Below are 24,263 nucleotides of genomic sequence, written 5' to 3'. Positions count from 1 at the left end.
AATGTGTTTAGGTTTTAAAAAGGTTATAAAGTGTGTACGCTTTATTTTTGTCATATATATGTGTGTATGTATTTAGATGATCAAGAAAACAAAATGAAGATTTAGAAATAAGTAGCCAAGAAGAATAGGAAACTACTTTTGCCCTCAGAAATGAAGAAAAGAAAGACCAACTTCAATGCAGCCAAAAAAAGCTCTAAGGGAAATGTGTTCCTGAGGAATTTCTTTGATATGAGCTTATAAAAAATTCCTGGCTGTCACTGCTGCCCCTCCTCCACCCTGCCCTTCTCTCTTCTTCTGTCTGTGATCCAGGATCTGAGCCTCTCCAATCTAGGAAATGGCAGCAGCAGTCCCCATTATTATTATATTATCTGTAATAACAGCAGTAAGACTTCTCATGGGAAGAGCACCTCACTTTTTTTCAGAGCCCTCACATACCCAACTGGCCTTTAAAACAACCTCAGCAGTGAACCTGAAAAAGACCCCACCTGCAGCTTGTCTGAGACTAAGATAGACAACCTAATAAGGGCCAGGAATTAAATGATAAATCAGGGATGCTTGCTTTGGCCACAATAATCAGAGGGGATCATGTACATTGTGCAAACATCACTGAGGGGCAATTCTAGGGGTTCTCAATTAAGACAAGTGGGGTCACGGAAAACACCCTAATCCTTTCCCATTTATTCCCATTATTCAGAGTGGACAGTTGGGGAAAGAGTTCCAAGCCCTGAGGACAAAGTCGGTGATGAAAGATCCCTGGTGTTCCCCCTTTCCCTCTGTGAATTTCTTCCTTCTCCCAAAGCAAAAGAGCGCTTTTGACAAGAACCAAAACAATTATAGAAGTGCACTAGAGTGCAGGTGAGTTTGATGCAAGCGTCTGAAATTAGATTTCTGGCAGGTAGGCAGGCCTTTGCAGACTTCAGCAGCTGTCCTTTTGTGCAGAAACATGGACAAAGCACCCCATGTTCAGCTGCTAAACTCAGCTCCTCATTGTTATCCAAACAATGGAGTCAAGAGGTAGATGAGAGTGGAAGCAAAGATAGGCTCTTGTGGAGCCAATTCTATGCCCATAGAATCCAGGGGCATGGTTCAGTGAGGTTCTCTATTTCAAGACCTTCCCCTTTTAGGGCAGGTTGGATAAGACAGGTGATTCTACATGGCCCTTGAGGAGGAGGGGAAAAAGATTTCTTCCCTCCTCTCACCCTGACAGCACACGGGAGCCTCAGGACGAAGTGCCACAAATGTGGACATGCTTTATTATGGCTCTTAGAAAGTCAGACCCAGCTCCTCAGGACCCTTTCCCCACCAGTAACAAAGTACTTGTACATGCTCCATCCTTTGATCCTTCCAACACAGGAGCTGGCAACCTATCAGTTTAGCAAAGGCAGCATCCCAAGAGGTAGGTCTCATAGGAGGTCTTAAGAAAGGTAAGTTCATCTGTGGAAGGAGGAATGAGGCCTTGTGAGGTCTGGCAAGCCCCCATCAGCTTGGCTAACCTCCAGGAGAGAAGTTCATTAATGAGGGGCTATAGTAAAAATGTCTTTGCACCCTCTGAAAGAGTGTATGTGGTTTCTCCCTCTTCATTACTTCTTTTCCCCAAATCTCTGCTAGTAGTAATAAGCCAACTTTGCAAACAGATTCCAAAGGTATTTGGGGCCACAGACACTTGTACCAGGCCTATAATATTTGCAACAATTACATATAAATGTTCTCATACTTGTCATTCTCCCATCCCCCCTATACCTACCATCACTGCCTTCTCTTCCTAAAACTCAGGTCTACCAGCTCAGAGTCCTCAAATAGGTGTCCTTAGCAAACATACTTCATTTCTCCTCAGCATGCAACCCTTTTCTCATGGAACAGCAGATAAGGGCCCACCCAGAAAGGGAACAGGGCCAAGCTGAAATCTGAGAAACCACACGGATCCAAGGGCTCTGGCAGTACCTGGCATACAAGGAGCACTGGGAGAGGGCTCAGTGCCCTTGGGTTGAGCTGCACCAGGAGATACACCTTCAAATACTAACTCAGATACTAACTTCCCCTGTCTTAGTAGGGCAAGCCATTTATGCTTTCAGTAACATGAAAATGGAGTTTTAGCTATAGTTAATAATCCATAGCAAGTGTTTACATGGAAGTTATTCATTTCCATCCTCACCTGGGGGAATGTTTAATCCTTGTAGGAAGAAATAAGATTGAACTCTTCTGACTACAGAATTTCATTCCATGCAGTAGGTAGTTCTATCACTACCACCAAGAAACTGAAGCCTCGGGAGGCTCGTAACTTGTCTATCATCACAGAACTAGTAAAGATGACAGAGCCAGAACTAAGACCCAGGTATGCTTGACACCAAAGCCTCCTAACCCTGGAGTTCCTTCCGTCTCCTCCAGACCTACCAGAATCCTGCCCATGGTTCACTCACTATTCAGATCATGTCACAGGAAGAGACTTTTGGGGACAAGTCCAGCCCACATCGATCGCTCCCTCTTCTGCTCTTTTATTATACTCATTGTCTGGAGCACTCCACCTAGCAACTAATTTTTTGGAAACCTTCTCTTGCTCTCTAATTGCTTCATAGGTGTTCTCTTGGCTTCCTAACCAGTCTCTGTCCCCAGATGGTTTCTTCCCTCAGTTCTCCCACCATACCAGGGTTACTGTAAGCACTCAGTGAATATCTGTTGAGCAACTAGTTTGAGAGATACAGATGCAAAGCCTAGTTGGAACACTCTTTTTGGAGTACAGAATTTCATAAGTCAGAATCCTCCCTAATTCTACCTTTTTAGTTCCTTTCACAAGTTAAAAATGATACTTATAAAGAGTTCTTAAAAAAATAGGGAAATGCTTATGATAAAATGTCAAGCTAAAAGAGACTGGATGCAAAAATAGATATACTTTGTGAGCTCAAACTATGTAAAATTGCAAAAAATATTAGGGAAAATATATTAAAGAAAAAAGTGAAACAAAGACTCGAGGGCATATACCAAAGGTTAAAGAGGGGTCATCACTGGCAGGTTGGACTCTGAAAGATGGCTATTTTTTCATTTAGTTTTGTGTCTTTCTTTTGGAAATGCCATAAGTTGTAGTTTAAAGAAATTCCAGAATGAACATTAAATTTGATTGTATATGTAGAAAGGAGTATAGTAGGAGTGAACTTGGAAATAGGGAAGTGTTAAGTGGTTCATTAAATTAGGAGAAAATATTAAAAGAGTACATCTTTCAGGGTCCACCCAGAAAAACAAAAATCATACTAAGAATTAAAAACATACTAGATTCAATTCAGGAAATAGCTTATCCAGATGACAGGAGAGCTAAAAAGAGAGTAAGAATGTAGAAAAAGCCCAGAGATGACCAGGAACCAGGGTCATACCATGGAAGCTGGAACCAGGACAGCTGAGCCTCATTTCTTCACCCATAAAAATGTGGGAGTGAGAGAGGCTGAGGAAGGATACTCCAGTTCCCCGCTTTCTTTCCACTCTTCAATCTCCCAACAGGGCTTTCCGCTGGCTAAACTCTGCCAGCAGCCAACTTTCATGGAGCCTGGGAAATGCAGTCTACAGGGGTTGGCACCCTGCAAAATGGCAGGACAGAAGTTGGGATGGATCTGAAGGCAAACAGGCCCAGGACCAACAGGAAGCAAGTAAACATTAGATCAAATATCAGATAGATTCTAGGTCAGGTCAATAAAGAATAGAAGTACATATGCTGACAATTTTTGGGGAATGTAAGTTTTATGCATATGTAATTAACTCAAGGCAAACAATGCCTAGTTTAATAGTTAACTCATGGTATCAGTGTATTACTTTGCTAGGGCTTCCATAACAAAACACCCCACAGACTGTAGCTTAAACAACAGCAATTTATTTTACATGGTTTTAGAAACTAGAAGTCCAAGATTAAAAGGTGTCAGCAGGTTTGGTTTCTTCTGAGGCCTCTGGTTTGCAGATGGCCGGCCTCTTGCTGTGTCCTTCTACAGCCTCTCCTCTGTGCACACACATCCATGGTATCTCTTTGTAGGTACAATATCCCCTTTTTTATTTTTATTTTTGTGGGTACATAGTAGGTGCATATTATTTACAGGGTATGTGAGATGTTTGGATACAGGCATGTAACGTGAAATAAGCACATCACGGAGAATGGGGTATCCATCCTCTCAAGCATTTATCCTTCGAGTTACAAATAATTCAATTATATTCTTTATTTTAAAATGTACAATTGAGTTATTATTGACTATAGTCACCCCATTGTACTATCAAATAGCAGTTGTTATTCATTCTAATTTTTTGTATCCATTAACCATTCCCACCTCCCCGCTCCCTTCAACCCCCTACTACCTTTCCCAGCCTCTAGTAACCATCCTTGTACTCTCTATGTTCATGAGTTTAATTGTTTTGATTTTTAGATCCCATAAATAAGTGAGAACATGGGATATTTGTCTTTCTGTGCCTGGTTTATTTCACTTAACATAATGGCCTCCAGTTCCATCCATGTTGTTGCAAATGACTAGGACACCAATCATATCAGATTAGGGCTCACTCTAATCACCTGTTTAAAGGCCTCTTCTCTAAATATAGTTACATTTTGAGGTACTGGGGGTTAGGGCTTCAACATATGAATTTTAGGTGGGACAAAATTCAGCCTATACCAACCAGTGTCTCCCAAACTTTCCTGATAACAGTAGTCCCCTAGGGGGTCACTTGTTGAACACACAGGTTCCCAGGCCCTTCACCTGGAGATATGGTTTGATCTGCCCAGACCTAGTGTTGTAGATTAAAAATGGCCACAAATTGTTCCCTAGTCCTCCCATTAAAAGACAGAGTCTAATTCCCATTCCCTTGGATCTAGATTGGCTGTGGTGGCTTCATTGACCAATGGAATGGAGTAAAAGAGACATTCTGGGACTCCTAAAGCCTTACAGCCTCTGCCCAGTGCCCCTGAAACATTCACATTTGGAAAAGCCTACCACCAAATAGGAAGTCTGGCTACCCTGAGACTACCATGCTGTGAGGAAGCCCAAGCTAGCCATGTAGGGAGACTATACAGAGAGAGAAAAACAAAGAAAGAAAAATAGCCAGCCCAACTGTTCCTGCCCAGGCATCAGATATGGTATTAAAAAAACCATCTTAGACATTCCAGCCCCAGCAGACACAATGTAGGGGGAGAAAAAGAAGGCAGCTTGTGATATTGTGGAAATATTAATATATGTGGTCTTTGTCCTACCTCCTGACATACAGCTCCTAAAACCTTTGGAATCTCTCAAGTGATAGTGTCTTTTGTGTGCTAACAAGATGACTGGTGGCTGGGGGCCCCTAGGCAGCTTCAGGATGGGGGCTGGCCACTGGAAAGACCAAAGCATGATTAGAAGGTTGGGACTTTCAGCCCCATCCTGCAACTTCAGGAGTGGGGCAGGGAGAGGGAATAAAGGTTAAGTTGATCATCAATAACCAGTGATTTAGTCAGTCGTGCCTATACAATGAAGACTCCATAAAAAGCCCAAAAGGACTGCCTCAGGGAGCTTCTGGACAGTGGAACATGTGGAGGTTCCTTAAGGGTGGCACACCCAGAAATGACATAGAAACTATTTCCCACATGCCTTGCCCTGTGCATCTCTTCCATCTGGCTGTTTCTCTGTATCCTTTTAGTATCTTTTATAATAAACTGGTAAACCATGTCTCCCTGAGTTACCTGAGGCACTCCAGCAAATTAACTGAATCTGAAGAGGGGATCATGCGAACCCCAATTTTTAGCTGGTTGGCCAGAAGCACAGGTCACAACCTGGGGCTGATGATTGGTATCTGAAGTTGGGGACACTTAGGGACTAAGCCCTTAATCTGTGGAATCCAATGCTGCCTCCAGGTAGATAATGTCAGAATTGAATTTAATTATAGGGCACCCAGTTGGTGTCTGCTGAAGAACTGATTGGCTGCTGGTGGGGAGAAATCCCCACACCTTTTTCTGTGTTGCATGGTTTGTTTGAGACTAGGAAAAACATTTTCATTTTCCTATCTCTACTGTAACTACAGACAGAACTAAAGCCCCCTACATATGGCCCTAATACACCTTTCCCACCCATTCCAACTGTTAGAGCCATCTCAGCTAAGGTACCAAGCATTGTGGAGCAAAGATAAGTCATCTTCACTGTGCTCTGCCTGAATTCTTGCGGTGCAAAATTATGAGCATAATAAAATGGTGGTTGTTTATGCCACCATGTCTTGGGGTCAGAAATAGATAAATGAAACGCCTGGCTAGTGTTCTGGCAGTCTTCAGTGGCAATCTGGTCAAACCCCAGGCTCAATTAAGATTGTGCTCCAATGCCCACAGATGAATGCAGAAATAGTGATGGTGGGAAGGGGGAAGGTAGGGTCTTGAGGATAAATGATGGTGCTCAGACATATAACTCCACTGGGGAGAACATCAGAGGCCCTAGAAGGGTTCAGGGGAGCAGTGGGGGGCCAGCCATACGAAGCTCCCTGCTTGTTTCAGCTTCTGGGCTTTCACACTATTCTTTGCCTATCCGAATGTCCTCTGTTCTTTCCTTCCCTTCTCTTCTTCATCCTAGTCCTTTGCTGTCTTTCAGCCCTGTTCAAGAGTTGCTTCCTGCAGTAAGTGGGATCTGACCTGCTTCTAATTAGTCTCATTTCCTACATTCTTCAGTGCCTATATACAGAAAATGGAGAAATAATTGTCGCTTGGTAAAGTACTTTGTGAACTGTGAAGCTCTGTTTAAAAGTTCATTCTATAAATTCTCGCTTCTATGTTGCTTTTTTTTTTTTTTTTTTGACAGAGTCTTGCTCTGTTGCCAGGCTGGAGTGCAGTGGCGCAATCTTAGCTCACTGCAACCTCTGCCTCCTGGGTTCAAGTGATTCTCCTGCCTCAGCCTCTTGAGCAGCTGGGATTACAGGCGCATGCCACCACACCCAGCTAATTTTTGTATTTTTTAGTAGAGATGGGTTTTCACCCTGTTGGCCAGGAGGGTCTCAATCTCCTGACATTGTGATCCACCTGCCTCGGCCTCCCAAGGTGCTAGGATTATAGGCATGAGCCACCGCACCTGGCCTAATATTTTGTATTATTAGTAGAGACAGGGTTTCACCATGTTGGCCAGGCTGGTCTTGAACGCCTGACCTCAGGTGATCCACCCGCCTCGGCTTCCCAAAGTGCTAGGATTACAGGCATGAGCCACCTTGCTTGGCCCTCTATGTTGCTTTTTACACACTCTTGCATATATGACACCTCCAGAGTCAAGAATTGATGGTCAGAGAGAGGGGTATTTCCACTTGCTGCCTTCATGTCCCTTTTTCAAAACTCCTGGAATCCATTGCATGTTCTGAGGTATGAGCTGACATCACACACAACAGCAACACTTGCAGACTTCGATGTTTACAAGTACTTTATTAGTGTCTCAGAACACTCTCCACTCCATACCAAAACTAACTGGCATGTTCAATCTTCCCTGGAACATGTGGTACATAGTGAGAAGAGGTGGATAGCTTCCACTGCTGGAAGACCTTAGATGTTAAATGTTGGGAGACAGTTCTCCACGGTCTCTGACATTTCTGCACATCTTATAAGCGAGACCCTGATAGCTTTTGTTCCAGATTATCTTTCCAAGGATGTTCATATAGTGAACAGACTTGGAAGACAGAGATATTGTTTCCCTCTGAGGCAAAGGGCAGATTTGTTTACTGACAAGTATAAGAAAGATAATGCCTCCGCCCCAGGACAAAGCAGATTTGTTTGTAGCCTCTTGTAAAAACTGGAATTTCCTAAGCTCAAAGTTCCTCAACTATAATGCAAACCCACAGCACGCGCAGCATCTACCTGGGCCCCTCTGCATTGCTACTGTGGGACTTGGGGGTAAGAAGTACGAATACAAATATGCTAAAGTTCATGCTGCCTGCTTTGCTGTGAGTCATTAAGTCCTTTGTCTCTGATCCAGGAGTCTCATAACTTCTGCCAGCATCCATGAAACTGTGGCAGGCTAACTTGTTAGCTAGCAGGTAGGGTAAATCTCAGACCTTGACACTTTACAGTTCTTGACATCAGGTAATAGAGTATACATGCCTCCCCTCTGAAACACCTGCTCCAGCCCCTCTCATTCTCCCTATCCAAAGTACTTCCTTCTATCATACTCTTAATTACAAGACCCACTGCTTGTGCTGGCACATTACAAGAGACGCTGAAGATAAATGTAATTAAGTGAGTAATCTGGGTGCTAGACACCAATTTCTGTCAGAACCAGCCATGCTGAGGGGATAATGATATTAATGATAGCAGCTTTTGCTCTGAAGGGAAATCTTTTCAGGAATGTCCTTTTCCCTACAGAGCTTCTCTCCTCCACCACCCTTGCGCACCCCTCATGACTATTTTCTTGCTGTCTGGAATGTTCACATCCTCTAATCCAATATCTCTACTGCAGAATCTAAATTATCTGAGGACCTTTTAAAACATGCAGACTCCTCCCCCAACCCCAGACCTACTGAATAGAGTCTCTGGTGGTGAGGCCTAGCAATCTGCATTTTTTAAAAAGTGCCCCAGGTGATTCTTGCGTACGTTTAAGTTTGTTCTAAATGCTGGGGGCTCAACTCTAGCTGCACATAAAAACATAATGCCTGGCTGCAGCCTGAAGAGTCTCAATAATTGTTCTAGAGTAGGGCCCACACGTGGGTTTTTTGTTTGCTTGTATGTTGTTGGTTTGCTTCATTTCTGGGGTTTTTTAAAATGTTTCCCTAGGAGATTCCATTTGCAGTCAGGGTTGAGGACTTCCAGTTTATCTACCCTACTGGGACAGTAACCAGGTGAAAATGCACATATTGAGGACTTTTCCCTAATATTCCTTTGCTCAAACATCCTAATTGCCCTTCAACAAAGCCATTTAGTCTTCCTCCTTCAAATATGAATCTTAAAATCTCTCCCCACCTGGTAACTCTCTAATAATCACTTACAACAGAAATCTACCCCCACATTGTAGACTTAATTGGCCTGTTCCCTTTCTTTTATTTCACCTTGGCACTCTAATTAATCCATTTATAGTTCATCTATCCATCAATCCATGTGCACCTTGCTAAAGATACTTTCAGAAACAACTGGGTTTCTCCTGGCTGATTACTCTGCCATTCATGGCCTCTCTCCTCTCTGCCCCTCCCCACAGCACCCAAATCTCCAGGGGAATAGAAACTTAGGTGAAGATGGCCTTTCATACCAGAGGCTTAGGGACTTCTGCCAATAGAGACTGAACAGCTGCTGAAGATCCTTGCCTCACCTTCCTGACATATGCCCTGTGTTTGGATGGTGTATTAGTCTGTTCTCACACAGCCAATAAAGACATACCCAGGCCAGATATGGTGGCTCACACCTGTAATCCCAGCACTTTGGGAGGCCAAGGCAGGTGGGTCACCTGAGGTCAGGAGTTCCAGACCAGCCTGGCTAAAATGGCGAAACCCCCGCCTCTACTAAAAACACAAAAATTAGCTGGGCGTGGTGGTGGGCACCTGTAATCCCAGCTACTCAAGAGGCTGAAGCAGGAGAATCACTTGAAACCAGGATGAAGAGTTTGCAGCGAGCTGAGATCAAGCCACTGCACTCCAGCCTGGGCGACAGAGTGAGTCTCTTTCTCAAAAAAAGAAAAGATAAAAAACAAAGATAGTTCAATCTACATGTCCAGGTCCTAATTACTGTGTCTTTCAGCAAGATATCCCACCCGCACCAAGGTGAGCTCTGAGCAATGCTGCCAAGTCATTAAGATCCCCCTTCAAAATAAATCACCTGCATAATTCAGCATCATTCCCATCTTCTACCCCTCCTCCCAACTGGCAAACAAGTGTCCCATCACCCCTGTCAAAAACCCTGCTCAGGAGGAATTGGATACACTCAGGCTTGGAGGACTGATGAGGCCTCAGGAGCAAAACATCTTAAGTCAAAGGAACGAGTTACTTTAATGGTTGAAATTTGGACTGTGTTGAACTGAAAGGAATGATTCCCTAGGGGAACTGTGAGAGGGTTTTTACTCCTAGGGAAAGAGGAACATGTTTATTGGCCTTAGCTCCCTGCTGATGAACACATAAACTAGGGAAGTTGTAGATTTCAGTATTTCATCCAGTAAATAACTGGACACCTGCTTAGGACAGGTTCTGGTTGGGCACTGCATGGATTCAGTAGTATATATGACAAGGTCTCACCTCTGGAACTTACCATAAAAGGCAATCACACTTTAAGATTTTTAAAATAGCATCTGTTACACATTTGCTAAGCATTGCTTCTAATCATCTTTAACTTATTCACTCATTTAATCCCTACTACAACCCCATGGAGTTTGCTGCTGCTATTACCCTATTTACATTTGGGAATGCTGAGGAACAGAGAAGGGAAATAACAGAACCAGGACTGAACTCAGGAAGCCTGGCTTGAGAATCCATGTACCTAACCACTGGGGTAAATGTCTTCAAGAGACGCCTGACACACAATATCCAGGAGTGCTATGCTCCTCAAGGGCGGCCCCTTCTGAGGCTGCATTATTCTAAGGGCATTGCTGTTCCTCAGAGGAGTCCTGTATCCTCTCTCTACCAACTTTCCCTCAAGGTCTTATGAAGATACTCCACTGAAAACATCCTTTTTCTCTGATGAAGAAACCATGGTAAAAAAGCTGGGCCCTGAAACCAGGTAACCTGATTCCAGCTCACCATGAAAGTGTGACTCTAACAATGCCTCTGCCACTCCTAACCTGATTCAGAGGGCAATTCCCTTGACCCAGGGGCAGATACCACAGGTCTTCCTCCATCTCCCAGCAACTGGCACCACCCAGCACCTGCCTGTTGCACTGAACCTGCTTACAATCCAGGTAAAAACAAGTATACCAGTGGCCTTGACAATGAAAGGGGAGGGGCACTACCACCCTCTCAGTGCTAGGCTGACAAATGACCCTTGAGTGGCCTTGGTCTACCTCAGATCCTCTTCTCCCTCTCCCCACCTACTTTGCAGGTTTATGAGGCAGCTCCCCAGAGCAAGGCAGAGGACAACTGGTGCCATCTATGCACCAGGTTCGCCTGAGCTGAAGGCATCTCATGGTGAGACTCTGACCAGAGGAACAGGAAGGAACAAACTCTGGAGCAACTACTGCTCACGACAGAGTCAGCACCAGACAGACCTGCCAAGGAAGGCGAGTCCTCAACCTTGGAGGATCACAGTGGATACAATCCAGCACAGAAGCCCCACAATCACAGCTTTAATTAGAGCTCCGAGAGAAAGACAAAGGTAGCAGGGAAGAGAGGAAGCCCAAGGTGGTCCCTTTTCTAACTAGGAAGGGACAGAAATTCAAGCTGCCTAGAATAAACATGGGGCCCAAGAACAAGCTTTGGCCCGAAGCTTGACATAAGTTTTGGTAGCTTGTTGCATTTGTTAGAGGTTAGGTGCAGTGGCTCACGCCTGTAATCCCAGCAATTTGGGAGGCCAAGACGGGCAGATGGTTTGTGCTCAGGAGTTCGAGACCAGCCTGGCCAACATGGCGAAACCCTGTCTCTACTAAAAATACAAAAATTAGCCAGGTGCAGTGGCATGAACATGTAGTCCCAGCTACTTGGGAGGCTGAGGTAGGAGAATCACTTGAGCCCAGGAAGTGGAGGTTGCAGTGAGCCAAGATCACGCCATTGCACTCCAGCTTGGGCAACAGGAGTGAAATCCTATCTCAAAAGCAAAACAAAACAAACAAACAAACCTCCATAAATGGGGAAATTAAGATGGTTGCTAGCTATACTGAACTGGCTCCTCCTATTCATCATTTAAATGCATTCATACAGATCCACCCTTCAAAATCCCTGCTTCCAGGCTCATCCCCACCTATCTGCCCATGTCTAAGACATACTATTACTATATACAAATCACTATTTGTTCATTTTTTTAATTCAACAATCATTTATTGGGTGCCCAGTATGTGCCAGATGATAAGAATACAAAATTTGGCTGGAAGATACATAGTTCCAGCCTTCTGGGTATCTCTGGTCTATTGCGGTAAATGAATAAAAGAACCGGAATATAAACATAAGTGCTACAATTTAGATCTACATCACACAATTATAGAAGTGAGGGCAGGAGGGTCAGGAAAGGCTTCAAAGGGGAGTTGAAAATTGACCTGTGTCTTCAGGAATGTGCAGTTTTATTTCAGCAGTAGGGAGAGAATATGATAGGAGAGGTTGTAGGCATTGCTGTCTTGCAGGGCTAGAACACAGGGGAAGAGGCTGGGGATCAAGGTAGAGCTAGGCTAACGAGTTGGGAATTTATTCCACAGACTTACTACACAAGCACTGAGAAGCTTAACCCAAAGGAATGACATAAGATTTGCATTTTAGAATTATAATACCTAATGCTTATGTAATACTTACATTCTTCTAAGCTCTTCAACCATATTAATTCATCCCATCCTTACAACAACATTATGAGGTAGTATTACAATTAATCTCACTTTACAGATGAAGACATAAGGGCACAGAGTGACTTGCTCAAGGTCACAGAGCTACTAAGTGGTGGAGGCAGATTAAAATCCAGATCCATGTGACTCTAGAGCCAAAGTGCTCACACTATGCTCTTTCCAGCCTCCATGCCTGTGTTCGGTTTGTCTAGATTGGAACAACCTTCTTCCTTTTCTGAGAACTCCACCCCATTTTTAAGCAGCAGCTCACCTGTCACTTCCAATATTTCTTCAACATATAATTGCCCCTTCTTCTGTCCCCACAGCACCATATGTATGGTGATTATGGCATTCATTACTACATTCTGATTTGTTTGTATCTCTCTTGACCTATAGGATTCTGAAGGAGCAGGTCCATCTTTTAAGTCCTCAGTCCTTCTCCAACACATTTCCTGGAACAAAGACATTTTTAAAGCTATACAAGATTAATGAACACTTTAAAACAAAAATGCCCTCGGTACTAGTTTGCTAGGACTGCCATAACAAAATATCACAGACTGGGTGGCTTAAACCATAGCAATTTATTTGGTTGCTCTGGAGGCTGGAAGTCCAAGATCAAGGTCGAGCAGGGTTGGCTTCCTCTGATGCTCCTCCCTTTGGCCTGCAGATACAGATGGCTGCCTTCTTGTTGCCTCCTCACACAGTTGTCCCTCTGTGTCCCATGGTGTCTGATATAGTTTGGATGTTTGTCCCCACCCAAATCTTATGTTGAAATGCAATCCCCAGTATTGGAGACAGGGCCTGGTGGGAAGTTTTTGGGCCATGGGGGAGGATCCTTCATGGCTTGGTGCTGACCTTGCAATAGTTAGTTCTCATGAGATCTGGTTACTGTAAAGTGTAGCACCTCCCCAGCCTCTTGCTCCCACTCTCACCATGAGAGATGCCTGTTCCCTCTTCACCTTCCACCATGATTGGAAGCTTCCTGAGACCTCACCAGAAGCAGATGCTAGCACTGTGCTTCCTATACAGCCTGCAGAACCATGAGCCAATTAAACCTCCTTTCTTATAAATTAACCAGCAATTATAAAATTGCCCAGTAATTAATTAAATTATAGCAATGCAAGAACAGCTTAACACAGTCTCTCTCCATGTGCCCTAATCAATCTTCTCTTCTTATAAGGCCATCAGTCAGATTGGGTTAGGGCCCACTCTAACGGCATCATTTTAACTTAATCACCTCTTGAAAGCCTTATTTCTACAGTCACATTCTGAGGGACTGGGATTTAGGACTGCAACATATGAATTTGGGAAGGGCACAATTCAGTTCACAACACCCTATATATATAATATACAAATACTCAATATTTTGAACTTTCCAGCTCCTCTTCCCCAACACTTTATTTTTCTTTTTATGTGTTTTCAGTATGAAAATCTTTAATGAGGAAGAACAGATGTGAAGATGCGGTTTTGGTCAGCATAGATAAGGAGCACTTGGAACCCAGGCATAAAGCACATCTTTCAGGTCTGGAGGCTGATAGTGAGATGGTTAAAGAGGCACTAGATGAAGCCAGATGGGTCTGGGGCACCAGATCTCTCAATCTCCTGAGTCTTTTTCTTGGTTAATACTCCCTGCCTGTGGCAAGGAGACTCTGGGGAGGCCCCCAATGATCCTCTCTCCTTGAGTATATACTGGCTTTGTAGCTTGCTTCTTAATCAGTATAATAAGGCAAAGGTGATGGGAGATCACTTCTGTGGCTAGGCTATGTGCGACTGTGGCTTCCATCTTGCCAGAGGATTCTCTTTCTTGCTGGCTTTGATGAAACAAGCTACCATGTTGGAGAGGCCCACATAACAAAGACCAGAGATCAGCCTCTGCAACAAGAAACTGAGACCCTCAGCCCCAAAACCCTTGAGGAACTGCCAACAACCATGTAAGTCAAGTCAGCTTTTTCCACGTAGGTCTTCACATAAGACTCCAACCCTGGACGATATCTTGATTGCAGCCTCCTAAGAGACCATGAAGCAGGGGACCCAGAAAGCTGTGTCTAAATTCCTGAACCACAGAAATTGTCAGACAATAAATGTGTGTTATTTCAAGCCGTTAAGTTTTGGAGCAATTTGTTACACAGCAATAAATAACTAATACACTTCCCAAAAAGTCCTCTCTCTAACCTCCAAATATTTACTGCCCTATTGTTTTAATTTCTGACCAACTAATGTCTTCCAGCATCCACGTTTGTATTTAATTCCCTTCGGATAATTTTATCTTGTATATAATTTTCATCAGCTTGATTTTGCCTACTGCAAAAGAATAGAGTCACTATAAAGGCACGCCAGGGACACTAACATGGAAATATCCAAACTCAGGTTGGTAACAAGATGTTTATCCCTGATCTGCTACAAGATCCCTGTACCCTGTACCTAAAACACATGGGAATACTCACTCTACCACTTGACTTGGCTTCTCTTTTCTGTTTCCTCCTTCCCCATCAGAGAAGAGATGCTGTGCTCCTGTCCCTCCTAGGAACCACTTTCCACTACAAACAGTGTTGCACAGCACATTCATATCTATCCTAGGCCTTTCTGCCTTCCTTCTTTCCTCCCAATTCCTTCCAAACGACTGCAGCAAAAGATTCCTCTCCCTCCCCTCCACGTTCTCCTCCCTGCTTTGTTCTATTTTAGAGCCAAAAATAATGCTAATCATGGCAGATAAGTGCAAGATTGGTGCCAGGGATTTACACCTGCATCAGGAAAAAGGGAGAGCCATGCATTTCGTAGTAAATTAGAGCTAATAATGAACCAAAGCCAGCAACTTTTAAAGCCTTTAAAAGCACCCCAAAACCTCACCTCCTCATCCTCTAATTTAATTTAACCTGCTTCTGATCATGAGCAGCTTTCCAGAAAAAAATGTAATAGGACTCTTGCTTGGTGTGGTTTTTGCTATGATTATTAAAATAATGTTGCTCTCTCCTTTATGTTTTTTTCATTGTAACTTATGATATGAGTTATTTTGGGTCTAGCCTGGGAATGTTAACCATCACGCATAAATGTGGATTTTTAGAAAAGCACAAGTGCAGTCTCCATTGCCCAGGCTGGAGTGCAGTGGTGAGATCTTGGCTTACTGCAATCTCTGTCGCCCAGGTTCAAGTGATTCTCATATAACAGCCTCCCGAGTAGCTAGGATTACAGGTGCACACCATCACGCCTGGCTAATTTTTTTTTTTTTTTTTTTTTTTTTGTATTTTTAGTAGAGATGGGGTTTTGCCATGTTGGCCAGGCTGGTCTCAAGCTCCTGAGCTCAAGTGATCTGCTCACCTCAGCCTCCCGAAGGGCTAGGAGTACAGGTGTGAGCCACCCCTAGAAAAGCACAAGAGTAGTTCTGATACCTGACTTATTAATGGATTTTTAGATATAACACACTTGTAAGTTGGGGTCAGATACATACAGAGTGAGGACAGTGTTGTTCATTACAGGAAGTGGGGTGAGAGACAGAGATGAATAAACGTGGGCAAGGGGCCATGGAGAACTCGGAGGAAGGAGAGCAGAGAGAGAAGTGGGCTGTGTGGGAAAAGAGAGCCAGGGCAGGGGCATGGGAGGGCAACCTTTACTGAGTAGCTAATATGTGAGGGTCACTGAGCTAGAGATTTCTCATGTTGCTGTAGTGAATCCTCATGAGTCCAACGAGGGAGGTCCTCTTCTGCCATTTAAGAGATGGCTGCTTCTTAGAGAGTGTATACGACCTGCTGAAGGTCACACAGCTGATAAGTGGTGGGCCAAGATTCCAACTTGGGTCTCTCTGAAGATCTGGCAAGGACCTTCTTGCCAGTTCCCTGTGCACCTTCTTTTCTTTTCCCTTCTTTTTCTAGGTTAGGGAAGAGGGAGAGGAGTCGCTTATTCTACCTTTCTTGATGAAAGCTGGGGGAAGGCAACACTAAAGCACATGGCAGAGGAACTCTGGGGAACCAGAAAGTTTTTATTTCCTAATGGAAAGCTCTATAGCCTTCAAGGTAGGAGCTGGAGGATGGAGACAACAGGTCTAGAACTGCTCAGGAGCACTAGAAAGAGAAAAACCAGGCACTCGTGCCAAAAGTTGCTACAGCCTCCTTTGGCAGGTGAGAAACAAAATAGCCCCAGTGGGGAAGGGCAAAGGCAAGGTCAGCAGCTGAGAAGAGCCACAGTGATGAAACCAAGAAAGGTTGAACATACCCCCACCACACAAGCAGTTACCCCAGGCTCAAGCTCAGCATTGTTCTGATCAAAGTTTGTGTCAATGATTATGGTTAGTGGACAACTGATGAAAAGGAAGCTATACAACTATGTATCTCGGGCATTCATTCCTTTAAAATGTTTGCTCAGGAAGAATTATAGTAGTCCCCCCTTATCCACAGTTACACTTTCTGCGATTTCAGTTACTGGCAGCCAGCCTCGGTCCGAAACTAGGTGAGTACAGTACAATAAAATACATTAGAGTAAGAGAGACCATATTTGCATAACTTTTATTGCAGAATAGCCATGCACCGCATAACAACGTTTTGGTAAATGACAGACCATATATATGATGGTGGTCCCATAAGATTATGATGGAGCTGAAAAACTCCTACCACCTAGTGACATCATAGCTGCTATAACATTGTAGCACAACACACACATTACTCACGTATGTGGTGATGCTGGTGTAAAGAAACCTGCACTCCCAGTTGTCTAAAAGTATAACACATACAATTATGTACAATGCATATTTGATAATAATAAATAACAATGTTACTTGTTTATATATTTGCTAAAAAAACTGGTTCATATATTTGTTTAAAAAGTTAACTGTAAAACAGTCTAAGCAGGTCTTTCAGGAAGTATTCTAGATGGAAGCATTGTTACCATAGGAGACAACAGCTCCATGTGTGTTATTGCCCCTGAAGACCTTCCAGTGAGACAAGATGTGGAGGTAGAAGACAGTGATATTGATGATTCTGACCCTGTGTAGGCCTAGGCTAATATGTTTGTGTATTTATTTGTTAAAAAAAAAGTTTTAAAAGTTTTAAAAATTTTTTTAAAGAAAAAAGCTTACAGAATAAGAATATAAAAATATTTTTGCAGAGCCATACACCTATTCGTGTTTTAAGTTGTGTTATTACAAAAGTATCTATAAAGTAAAAAGAATTACAATAACCTAAGGTTAAACAAAACATTTATTAATTTTTTTTTTTAGAGACAGGGTTTTGCTCTGTCACCCAGCAGGCTGGAATGCCATAGTGTGATCATAGCTCACTGTAGCCTTGAACTCCTGGGCTCAAGCAATCCTCCCACTTCAGCCTCTCAAGTAGCTGGGGCTACAGGTGTGTGCCCCCATACCCAGCTAATTTTTTAAAAAAATGTTTATAGAGACTGGGTCGTTATGTTGCCCAGGCTGGTCTGAAACTCCTGGCCTCAAGCGATCCTCCCCTCTAGACCTCCAAAGCTCTAGAACTATAGACATGAGCCACTGCATCTAGCTAATAAAAATATTTAAATAAATTTAATGTAGCCTAAGTGTACAGTGTTCATAAAGTCTGGTAGTGTACAGTAATGTGGTAGGCCTTCACATTCACTCACCACTGACTCACCCAAAGTAAATTCCAGTCCTGCAAGTTGCATTTATGGTAAGTGTACTATACAGGTGTACTATTATTAATCTTATACCATATTTTTACTGTATCTTTTCTATGTCTAGATAGGTTTAGATACATGAATATTTATCATTGTGTTACGATTGCCTACAGTATCTGGTACAGTAACATGCTACACAGGTCTGTAGCCAAGGAATGATAGGCTATACCATACAGCCTAGGTGTATAGTAGTCTGTACCATCTAGATTTGTGTAAGTACATTCTACGAGGTTTGTACAATGAAATTGCCTTATGACACATTTCTCAGAACATAACCCTGTTCACTAAGTGGCACATGACTATAATTCTTATAATTGTTGTATTTTTAAATTAGTTATTGTTAATCTCTTATGGTGGCTAATTTATAAATTAAACTTTATTATAGGTATGAATATAGAGGATAAAACAGTATATGTAGGGTTTGGTACTATCCACGGTTTCAGGCATCCACTGAAGTTCTTGGAAAGTATCACCCGCAGAAAAGGGGAACTACTATATTTTCCTTTTAGCACTTGCTTAGTGTTCCTTAAACATGACCCTTTTAGTAAAGAGGTATGTTGTAGATACAACAAGAGGGCTATGAAACATGTGTTCATCTTTTATCTCAGGTAGGCATTTGGGTGCCACTGCTTGGACCTATAAATCCAGGTAGAACCCGGGTTTCTGCCCTTTGAAAGAGCAGCCCAGGTGGCACTGATGCAAGTTGTCCAGATCACACTTTCTAAAACACTTGCATGGACCAAGTAGCTATGGTAAAGTCCACCTATTACCCAGAGATCCATGGATTAGATTGGGGCTGATTTCCAAGAGATGGGGCTTAGGAAACTGGGAAAACTGCAGAGGATAAAAAGAAACTTCTGGGCTACTGGCCACTAAAATACAGCGATCTTTAGCATGGTAGGAACCATCCCTCCCCAGCACATCACAATCATCTTGTCAATGACTCCTTATGACCCCTACCAAAGCTTCTGACTCATTTGGGACCCCCCAACTCCCTAATATTCCTCCAAATTAGCTGCCATTCTTGATGCTTTTACTAGACTATAGCCAGTCCAGGATTTTACAAGACACCAAAAATGTATCACCATGTGGGTAATCTGCATGGATATTACTGAGCCTGAAAAATGATCACTTCACCAACTACTACTGCAGGGCTTCCTCAGGGTGGGTTCCCTGGGAACTCCAGTCATCCTGGTCCATCTTCTCCAGGTGATCCTAATATAATCCAGGCTAAGTCACTGTTCTAGGAGGTAAAAAACAACTGAAAAGACTTGCTGTTTTAGGAAGATTGATTTGGGGAGCTAAAAAGGAGTAATGCCAGGTTACCCTGGATATTTATTGTGTTTAAAATGCAACAGAGGGCTTTGCCTGAGTCCACACTTGCCAAGCAATAGTCTTGCCCGGAGTGTTTGAGAAATGGCAGGCCTGTTCTTAGAGACAACACACGCAGAGTTCTCCATCCTGCACAGAGCTGAGTCCTCAGACTCCCAGGCCCTGTGAAAAGGAAGGGACAGAGAATAAAGAAACCCCATTACCATACTTGCCCCAGGCAGTGATGCCCACCAGGCATCCTGTCCACCTCTAAGAAGAGATAGACTGCCCTCTCTCTCTTAGTCTTCTTAGTGTGCCTCTTCTCAGGAAAGGTCAGGTGATCCTTGCTAAGTGCTTTGAGCCCTTGGGACCCAATGGGCCTCTCTGCCCTGGGAGTCTGACAGGAAATCAATCTGCTGTCTCCTTTGCATTGCGAATAGTGTGGATACCCATCAGGTAAGAGGTAATCTCCAAGTTCCCTCCCAACACCAACAGTCTGTAATTCCTTTTAGCCAAGACCTAAGGATGCCTATTTAACATGAAGCAAGGAGAGAACTAATCTACAGTTAGAAAATACATCTCCCAAATTTCCTTGAAAACAGGAGATAGCAGTGCTATGAACAAACCAGACAAGCAGAGCACCTAACTGAACCTTGCTTTGCATCAAAAGAAACTGAGATCAGACTGGAAAAATGACTTAAACACAAGGTGATACAGTTGATGGTTAAGCTTGAGTTGGAGCCGGGACTCCTAGCTTCTCCTGCTTGTCTCCCTCCACAGTTTGGGTCAGCCAACTTCGGCTTGACAGTGCATACCCTGACTTTTGGCACGAGCAGCTGCTTTATCCTCTTCACAGTATTTGGTTCCAATTGATATCCCAAAGTGTCAAAATCCCTGAGTACACACCAGTCAACGGTGAGGACTGAGACCATGGCCACAGTTGGGTGGCAGAGAGAAGCCAATCCAGGATTTTACAAGACACCAAAAACGTATCACCATGTGGGTAATCTGCGTGGATATTACTGAGCCTGAAAATGATCACTTCAACAACTACTACTGCGGGGCTTCCTCAGGGTGGGTTCCCTGGGAACTCCAGTCATCCCGTTCCATCTTCTCCAGGTGATCCTAACATAATCCAGGCCAAGTCACTGTTCTAGGAGGTAAAAAACAACTGAAAAGACTTGCTGTTTTAGGAAGATTGATCTGGGGAAGCTAAAAAAGAGTAATGCCAGACCAGAGAGGCTGGTCAGGGGGCTTTGCAGGCACCTACACAAAAGGTAAAAAGGCAGGGATGGGTGGAAAGGAAGAGATGCAGACAAGAGGTTATAAAGGGGGGCTACTGGGTCTAAAACCTAAGATGAAAGAGCCCCAGAAGAGAGAAAATCATGAAAAAACTCAAAATTTTAGGTCTTGAGAAAGAGGGGCAATGTATCTTGAAGGAGAGGCTGAGTTTAATTTTAGACATGTTAAAGAAGATATTCACATAGAGTCTCAGAGAGGACAGCTAGAGAATAGAGGCTGAAATCTAAAAGAGAGGACAGCTAGAGAATAGAGGCTGAAATCTAAAAGATTTGAGCAAGGCAACCACGTCTGTGCTGGGCCTGGAGAACAGGCCTGGACACTTGGCTGTACACACTTCCACATCCTGGAGAGCAGGCCTGGACCCTGGGCAGCGCACATCTCCACATCCTGGAGAACAGACCTGGACACTTGGCTGTACACATTTCCCCATCCTGGAGATCAGGCCTGGACACTCGGCAGCGCGCACCTCCACATCCTGGAGAGCAGGCCTGGACCCTCGGCAGCGCACATCTCCGCATCCTGGAGAACAGGCCTGGACACTTGGCTGTACACATTTCCCCATCCTGGAGATCAGGCCTGGACACTCGGCAGCACGCACCTCCGCATCCTGGAGAGCAGGCCTGGACCCTCGGCAGCGCGCATCTCCGCATCCTGGAGAGTAGGCCTGGACACTTCGCAGCGCACATCTCCGCATCCTGGAGAGCAGGCCTGGACCCTCGGCAGCGCGCATCTCCGCATCCTGGAGAGCAGGCCTGGGCCCTAGGCAGTGCACACAGCGCTAGGTGCCTGGTACCTCCAGGCATGCGTCTCCCATTCCTAATATTCCTTCCGCATCTTGAGTGCAGAGAACTTGGTCTGTTGATATTCCATGTGCCTCACCATACATAACACAGGGCACGTGGCAAGTACAGAACCAAAGCCTCTCCTGGATGCACACGTGGGCTGGGCTGTGCCTGCCAGCTGCAGGGCCCTACAAATCACCTCATCCTCCACATTAATTTTTTATGACAATAGAAGTCAAGCTGGCCCAGGGATATGGGACACTGGTCCTGCCAGCTGCCCCTTTGGAAGGACAACACAAAGTCCTCACATGGACTGACCAGGCATTAAAGAAAGCCCCACTAGGACTTAAATTCTGCTACTGTTTTCTCAATTCTGAAGATGGTGACTAGCTTACGGAAACCGAGCTATCCTCAAACATCTTCTCCTGCCAAGGATTATAAGAGCTGAAATCAAGAGAGAAAGAGCTCTGACAGACACAGCTTTCCTTCCTCTGGGAAAGCTCTCCTTCTCTGGATATGCTCCATTGACAAGGGGCCTGGACAGTCCTGCTCTGTAGGGGGAGAGGAGTTGGCAGAGGCTCAGCTCCAGGCCACATGCATGGGGGCCTGAGGGGAATCCTGCACTTATGCCCTCCTCCTGGGAGACAGATGCGATTAAGGACTTCTGGGCACCTTGCCAAATGGCCTAACATCCTGGGGATGGAGGAGTGGCCCAGGTGCTCGAAGAAGGGAGCTTGGCTTGGGAGTTTCTAGTAGAAAGGCCCAAACCTGAGGGCAGATTGGCAGCAACTGACAAGCTAGTGAGCCTTGTGTATAAAATGCTATACTTTTTTTCCTTTTTTTAAGACAGAGTCTTGCTCTGTCGCCCAGGCTGGAGTGCAGTGACATGATCTTGGCTCACTGCAACCTCTGCCTCCCGGGTTCAAGAGATTCTCCTGCCTCAGCCTCCCAAGTAGCTTGGACTACAGGCACACACCACCAGGGCCAGGCATTTTTTGTATTTTTAATAGAGATGGGATTTTGCCATGTTGACCAGGCTGGTCTTAAACTCCCAACCTCAAGTGATCCATCCACCTCAGCCTCCCAAAGTGCTGGGATTACAGGCATGAGCTACCATGCCTGGCCCAAATGCTATACTTTTAAAAGTACCCACCTCTCTGCTGCAGAAAGCCCATGGAAGTACCAGGAATTTTTTGATAATGATAAATAGTGGGGCATTTTGTATGTCATGGTAACAATAACAAGTTTTATATATTTTCTTCCAAAGCTCCTGGAGTGAATCTCATCCCAGTCTATCCTGATGGGGATTTCTGAGGCCTTGCCCTGATCTTTCTAGGTAGCCCTGACACATGGCCATTCAAAAGCACAGGGACGGTGGCTCATGCCTGTAATCCCAGCAGTTAGGGAGGCCGAGGTGGGCGGATCACGAGGTCAGGAGCTCGAGACCATCCCGGCCAACATGGTGAAACCCCATCTCTACTAAAAATACAAAAATTAACCAGGCGTGGTGGCACATGCCTGTAATCCCAGCTACTCGGGAGGCTGAGGCAGAAGAATCGCTTGAACCAGGGAGTCAGAGGTTGCAGTGAGCCAAGATCACGCCATTGCACCCCAGCCTGGTGACAGAGCGAGACTCTGTCTCAAAAATAATAATTAAAAAAAGCACAGGAAACCTTGGTCCCTTTCCTCTCACTCCCCCTTCTCCCAATTATCACTAGGCCAGCAGGCCAAGGCAAAAGACAAACAAAGTAGAGGAAACTTCAATACAATGATTTGTTGACTCTCTACATTCCCCTCTCCTCTATCTCCCAAGTAACTTCAGATTAACCTCAGCATCACTTCTGCAAGGCCTAAGAAAGAGTTAGTGTTTATTCCCAATTCTGTCTGTCCTTTGTTCACTACATCCAGTCTGGAACACCCAGGTCCATAATCTAGCCATAGGCCACTACATAGGCTCTGTTCTCCCAAGCTTTCTCTTTTTATTTTTTCTTTATCAAACTTATTTTAACCATTATAAAAGCAATACATGTTCATCAAATTTTGAAAAATCAGCATAGAAAAGAAAATGACCTAATGTCTCAATTCCACCCCATTCTCCATATATTAACCATATTTTTAATTTACTTCCTTCTAGTCTACTTGCTGTGAATTTTTCTTCCCACCATCCCCACCCCCCAATCACCAATCTGAACCAGACATTCTGGTTCCTTGGCTCTTTCACTAACTAGTTGTGTGACCTTAGGCCAGTTATTATTTAATCTCCTGAAGCCTAATTTCCTGGCTAGAATGATGATGCAGGCTGATTGCAGCAGCTCTGTTCATTCCTATTATATCTGTTTTCCAATGAACTCTTTCACTGAGATTAATAGTCAGATTGGTCAATGAGGAAATAGGACCCAATTTATAAAAATCTACATAAAGCACAACTTTTAAAAAATACAGCCATTGAGTCCCAGGAGATGGGTCATTAAAAGCCTGGAATGGTCTTACCCCATTACTTCCTGTGGACAGCAGAGCCACAACACACAGGGAGCACAGCATTGAGAGGGTTGAGAATAATCACAAAGCCACCCTTTACTGTGCACCTACACAGGCCCAGGAACTCTCTATGTTCCAGGGGCGCCCCTGGCAAATTTTCTTCTCCTATTCTCAACGAACTTGCAATACAAAATTCTGATTGCTAGGGTACAGATAAGAAAAGCTAGGCTTAGTAGGTTCAAAGCCTTGCCCAAGACTTCAGAGCTAGAAGGCTCAGGGCCTGGCCTTGTGTATCCAAATCTTACACCCATGTCCTAAACAGTGACTAGATTCTCTGTGCATCATTTCTGGCTAT

General features: G+C 44.2%; 1 protein-coding gene across 32 annotated transcripts in view; it reads right to left on the bottom strand.

The window, feature by feature from the left end:
* The window catches only part of KALRN (kalirin RhoGEF kinase), a 692,957-nt gene that overhangs the window by 529,619 nt on the left and 139,075 nt on the right, over positions 1-24,263 (bottom strand). The gene's annotated exons all lie outside the window — the stretch shown is intronic.

Source organism: Homo sapiens, chromosome 3 (genome assembly GCF_000001405.40).
Source record: "Homo sapiens chromosome 3, GRCh38.p14 Primary Assembly".
Classification (NCBI taxonomy): domain Eukaryota; kingdom Metazoa; phylum Chordata; class Mammalia; order Primates; family Hominidae; genus Homo; species Homo sapiens.
The sequence above is the reverse complement of the archived record's forward strand: the minus strand, read 5'-3'. Positions and strand labels throughout refer to the sequence as shown.